The sequence below is a fragment of the Homo sapiens genome, chromosome X, assembly GCF_000001405.40.
Source record: "Homo sapiens chromosome X, GRCh38.p14 Primary Assembly".
Lineage (NCBI taxonomy): Eukaryota > Metazoa > Chordata > Mammalia > Primates > Hominidae > Homo > Homo sapiens.
The window spans coordinates 12,856,288-12,862,568 of NC_000023.11; positions in this window are offsets into that span (position 1 = coordinate 12,856,288).

The window sequence follows — 6,281 nt, forward strand, 5'->3', positions numbered from 1 at the left end:
GGGATCTTAGCATATAAAACCTGGGTGTGTCTTTATTGATCATACAGCCTCATCCCTCACTTTAAAGATAAATGGTTTATTTTTATGTAGTCAAATTTTTCAGTGTTTTCTTTAAGACTCTGGGATTGTTGCTGTTGGTTCCTTTTCCTTGTTTGTTTGGTGTTATCGTCATACTTAGCACTACTTTTCTACTTCAAGATTAGAAAAAATATTGACCTATAGTTTCTTTCATATATATATATATATATATATATAATTATACTTTAAGTTCTAGGGTACATGTGCACAACATGCAGGTTTGTTACATATGTATAGATGTGCCATGTTGGTGTGCTGCAACTCCAAAAGAGTCATGCCCATTTGAATTAATTTTGGAAATGTCTGTTTTTCTTTTTGTACTTGGTTCATAGCAACTGCCCTAGGGCACCAACCATCCAGGGAAACTTTGATGCATCTTACACTTTGGTCCTGATGAGAGGGAGGCATAAATGAGAAAAGCTCTTATTCTGCAGTTAATACAGAGCAAGCGGCTGAGTTTGAAGCAGCCATGGAGAACATTCTAGAACAGGGTTGTCTAGTCGTTTGGCTCCCTTGGGTCACATTGGAAGAAGAATTGTCTTGGGGCCACACATAAAATACACTAACAATCGCTGATGAGCTTAAAAAAAAATCTCATAATATTTAAAGAATGTTTACAAATTTGTGTTGGGCCGCATTCAAAGCTGTCCTGGGCTGCATGTGGCCCATGGGTGGTGGGTTGGACAAGTTTCCTCTAGAATCAACAAAATTCTGCAATTCCGTGTGCTAACAGAAGAGCCTTACCAGTTGTGGTGACAGGCTAGACAGCCAGGTAGAGAATTCAATAGGAGCGGAAATAACTGTCCACGAACAGCGTAGGGCCTGACAATCTGAAAGAAGCAATATTCTACCTAGTTCGAAGATCTTAAGCTTACACAGAAAGGGCGCTTACACTGATACAGAAACAAAACTATGCAGAATCCAATCAAATGATTAACTTAGGTGGGGTTTGCAGTCTTTTTGTAGAAGAAGAAAGGATTGGCCGGGCGCGGTGGCTCACGCCTGTAATCCCAGCACTTTGGGAGGCCGAGGCGGGCGGATCACGAGGTCAGGAGATCGAGACCAACCCCGCTAAAACGGTGAAACCCCGTCTCTACTAAAAATACAAAAAATTAGCCGGGCGTAGTGGCGGGCGCCTGTAGTCCCAGCTACTTGGGAGGCTGAGGCAGGAGAATGGCGTGAACCCGGGAGGCGGAGCTTGCAGTGAGCCGAGATCCCGCCACTGCACTCCAGCCTGGGCGACAGAGCAAGACTCCGTCTCAAAAAAAAAAAAAAAAAAAAAAAAAAAAAAGAAGAAGAAAGGATTGGGTATTGTATATAATTCACCTCCAAAGACCTGGGCAGCATGATTGCACCCCTGTAAAGCTATGGGTTTACCAGTAGCAGCTAGGTACATAGGTTTAGAGTAACCCATTCAGGTTCCTCAGAAGGACCTGATGAGCTCTTGGCTGAAATCACTGATTGTTCAAAACCTGCAGGATACTGAGAAGGCAAACCCCAAATTTCATGGGATAAAATGACAGTTTGTACGAGAAAAATCACCTTAGATGTCTACCTTTCCAAGTCTCAGCACCCAGTTAAAATCTCTAATTAAAAGTCATCTCAGTAACTGAGGTTGCCTTTCACTTCCCGAATGCCCAAACATTTTTCAACTCTGGGAACCTTTAAAAATGAGAACAGAAATAACCAAGACACTTAAAAACATTGTATCGATGTTTCCTGGTTAAGGCATCTGCACAAACTTGGGGTTGTATATGCTTGAATAGTTAAGAGAAATATAGCCTATTAAGACAATAGCTTGTGACTCCCAGATAAAGTATATAATTGAGTGATTGATCTTTTCAAGTTGAAATCTAAATAATTTATGTGGACACTTAGAAATTTAATAAAACAAAACTAGTTTTGTTTCACCATACTTCTTTTTCCTCTCTCAAAAAAAAATTTTTTTATACTTTAACTTCTAGGGTACATGTGCACAACGTGCAGGTTTGTTACATATGTATACATGTGCCATGTTGGTGTGCTGTACCCATTAACTCGTCATTTAACATTAGGTATATCTCCTAATGCTATCCCTCCCCCCTCCCTCCACCCCACAACAGGCCCCGGTGTGTGATGTTCCCCTTCCTGTGTCCAAGTGTTCTCATTGTTCAATTCCCACCTATGAGTGAGAACATGTGATGTTTGGTTTTTTGGCCCTGCGATAGTTTGCTGAGAATGATGGTTTCCAGCTTCATCCATGTCCCCATAAAGGACATCAACTCATCCTTTTTTATGGCTGCATAGTATTCCATGGTGTATATGTGCCACATTTTCTTAATCCAGTCTATCATTGATGGACATTTGGGTTGGTTCCAAGTCTTTGCTATTGTGAATAGTGCTGCAATAAACATACGTGTGCATATGTCTTTATAGCAGCATGATTTATAATCCTTTGGGAATATACCCAGTAATGGGATTGCTGGGTCAAATGGTATTTCTAGTTCTAGATCCTTGAGGACTCGCCACACTGTCTTCCACAATGGTTGAACTAGTTTACAGTCCCACCAACAGTGTAAAAGTGTGCCTATTTCTCCACATCCTCTCCAGCACCTGTTGTTTCCTGACTTTTTAATGATTGCCATTCTAACTGGTGTGAGATGGTATCTCATTGTGGTTTTGATTTGCATTTCTCTGATGGCCAGTGATGATGAGCATTTTTTTCATGTGTCTGTTGGCTGCATAAATGTCTTCTTTTGAGAAGTGTCTGTTCATATCCTTTGCCCACTTTCTGATGGGGTTGTTTGTTTTTTTCTTGTAAGTTTCTTTGAGTTCTTTGTAGATTCTGGATATTAGCCATTTGTCAGATGAGTAGATTGCAAAAATGTTCTCCCATTCTTTAGGTTGCCTGTTCACTCTGATGGTAGTTTCTTTTGCTGTGCAGAAGCTCTTTAGTTTAATTAGATCCCATTTGTCAATTTTGGCTTTTGTTGCCATTGCTTTTGGTGTTTTAGACATGAAGTCCTTGCCCATGCCTATGTCCTGAATGGTATTGCCTAGGTTTTCTTCTAGGGTTTTTATGGTTTTAGGTCTTACGTTTAAGTCTTTAATCCATCTTGAATTAATTTTTGTATAAGGTGTAAGGAAGGGATCCAGTTTCAGCTTTCTACATATGTCTAGCCAGCTTTCCCAGCACCATTTATTAAATAGGGAATGCTTTCCCCATTTCTTGTTTTTGTCAGGTTTGTCAAAGATCAGATGGTTGTAGATGTGTGGTATTATTTCTGAGGGCTCTGTTCTGTTCCATTGGTTTATATCTCTGTGTTGATACCAGTACCATGCTGTTTTGGTTAGTGTAGCCTTGTAGTATAGTTTGAAGTCAGGTAGCGTGATGCCTCCAGCTTTGTTCTTTTGGCTTAGGATTGACTTGGTGATGCGGGCTCTTTTTTGGTTCCATATGAACTTTAAAGTAGCTTTTTTCCAATTCTGTGAAGAAAGTCATTGGTAGCTTGATGGGGATGGCACTGAATCTATAAATTACCTTGGGCACTATGGCCATTTTCACGATATTGATTCTTCCTGTCCATGAGCATGGAATGTTCTTCCATTTGTTTGTGTCCTCTTTTATTTCGTTGAGCAGTGGTTTGTAGTTCTCCTTGAAGAGGTCCTTCACATCCCTTGTAAGTTGGATTCCTAGGTATTTTATTCTCTTTGAAGCAATTGTCAATGGGAGTTCACTCATGATTTGGCTCTTTGTCTGTTATTGGTGTGTAACAATGCTTGGGATTTTTGCACATTGATTTTGTATCCTGAGACTTTGCTGAAGTTGCTTATCAGCTTAAGGAGATTTTCGGCTGAGACAATGGGGTTTTCTAGATATAAAATCATGTCATCTGCAAACAGGGACAATTTGACTTCCTCTTTTCCTAATTGAATACCCTTTATTTCTTTCTGCTGCCTGATTGCCCTGGCCAGAACTTCCAACACTATGTTGAATAGGAGTGGTGAGAGAGGGCATCCCTGTCTTGTGCCGGTTTTCAAAGGGAATGCTTCCAGTTTTTGCCCATTCAGTATGATACTGGCTGTGGGTTTGTCATAGTAGCTCTTATTATTTTGAGATACGTCCCATCAATACCTAATTTATTGAGAGTTTTTAGCATGAAGGGCTGTTGAATTTTGTCAAAGGCCTTTTCTGCATCTATTGAGATAATCATGTGGTTTTTGTCTTTGGTTCTGTTTATATGTTGGATTACGTTTACTGATTTGCGTACGTTGAACCAGTCTTGCATCCCAGGGATGGAGCCCACTTGATCATGGTGGATAAGCTTTTTGATGTGCTGCTGGATTCGGTTTGCCAGTATTTTATTGAGGATTTTTGCATCGACGTTCATCAGGGATATTGGTCTACAATTCTCTTTTTTTCTTGTGTCTCTGCCAGGCTTTGGTATCAGGATGATGCTGGCCTCATAAAATGAGTTAGGGAGGATTCCCTCTTTTTCTATTGATTGGAATAGTTTCAGAAGGAATGGTGCCAGCTCCTCCTTGTACCTCTGGTAGAATTCGGCTGTGAATCCGTCTCGTCCTGGGCTTTTTTTGGTTGGTAAGCTATTATTGCCTCAATTTCAGAGCCTGTTATTGGTCTATTCAGAGATTCAACTTCTTCCTGGTTTAGTCTTGGGAGGGTGTATGTGTCGAGGAATTTATCCATTTCTTCTAGATTTTCTAGTTTATTTGCGTAGAGGTGTTGATAGTATTCTCTGATGGTAGTTTGTATTTCTGTGGGATCGGTGGTGATATCCCCTTTATCATTTCTTATTGCGTCTATTTGATTCTTCTCTCTTTTCTTCTTTATTAGTCTTGCTAGTGGTCTATCAATTTTGTTGATCTTTCCAAAAAACCAGCTCCTAGATTCACTGATTTTTTGAAGGGTTTTTTGCGTCTCTATCTCCTTCAGTTCTGCTCTGATCTTAGTTATTTCTTGCCTTCTGCTAGCTTTTGAATGTGTTTGCTCTTGCTTCTCTAGTTCATTTAATTGTGATGTTAGGGTGTCAATTTTAGATCTTTCCTGCTTTCGCTTGTGGGCATTTAGTGCTATAAATTTCCCTCTACACACTGCTTTAAATGTGTCCCGGAGATTCTGGTACGTTGTGTCTTTGTTCTCGTTGGTTTCAAAGAACATCTTTATTTCTGCCTTCATTTCGTTATGTACCCAGTAGTCATTCAGGAGCAGGTTGTTCAGTTTCCATGTAGTTGAGCAGTTTTGAGTGAGTTTCTTAATCCTGAGTTCTAGTTTGATTGCACTGTGGTCTGAGAGACAGTTTGTTATAATTTCTGTTCTTTTACATTTGCCGAGGAGTGCTTTACTTCCAACTATGTGGTCAATTTTGGAATAGGTGCTGTGTGGTGCTGAGAAGAATGTATATTCTGTTGATTTGGGGTGGAGAGTTCTGTAGATGTCTATCAGGTCCGCTTGGTGCAGAGCTGAGTTCAATTCCTGGATATCCTTGTTAACTTTCTGTCCTGTTGATCTGTCTAATGTTGACAGTGGGGTGTTAAAGTCTCCCATTATTATTGTGTGGGAGTCTAAGTCTGTTTGTAGGTCTCTAAGGACTTGCTTTATGAATCTGTGTGCTCCTGTATTGGGTGCATATATATTTAGGATAGTTAGCTCTTCTTGTTGAATTGATCCCTTTATCATTATGTAATGGCCTTCTTTGTCTCTTTTGATCTTTGTTGGTTTAAAGTCTGTTTTATCCGAGACTAGGATTGCAACCCCTGCCTTTTTTTGCTTTCCATTTTCTTGGTAGATCTTCCTCCACTCTTTTATTTTGAGCCTATGCATGTCTCTGCATGTGAGATGGGTTTCCTGAATACAACACACTGATGGGTCTTGACTCTTTATCCAATTTGCCAGTCTGTGTCTTTTAATTGGGGCATTTAGCCCATTTACATTTAAGGTTAATATTGTTATGTGTGAATTTGATCCTGTCATTAGGATGTTAGCTGGTTATTTTGCTCGTTAGTTGATGCAGTTTCTTCCTGGCGTCAATGGTCTTTACAATTTGGTATGTTTTTGCAGTGGCTTGTACCGGCTGTTCCTTTCCATGTTTAGTGCTTCCTTCAGGAGCTCTTGTAGGGCAGGCCTGGTGGTGACAAAATCTCTCAGCATTTGCTTGTCTGTAAAGGATTTTATTTCTTCTTCACTTATGAATGTTAGTTTGGCT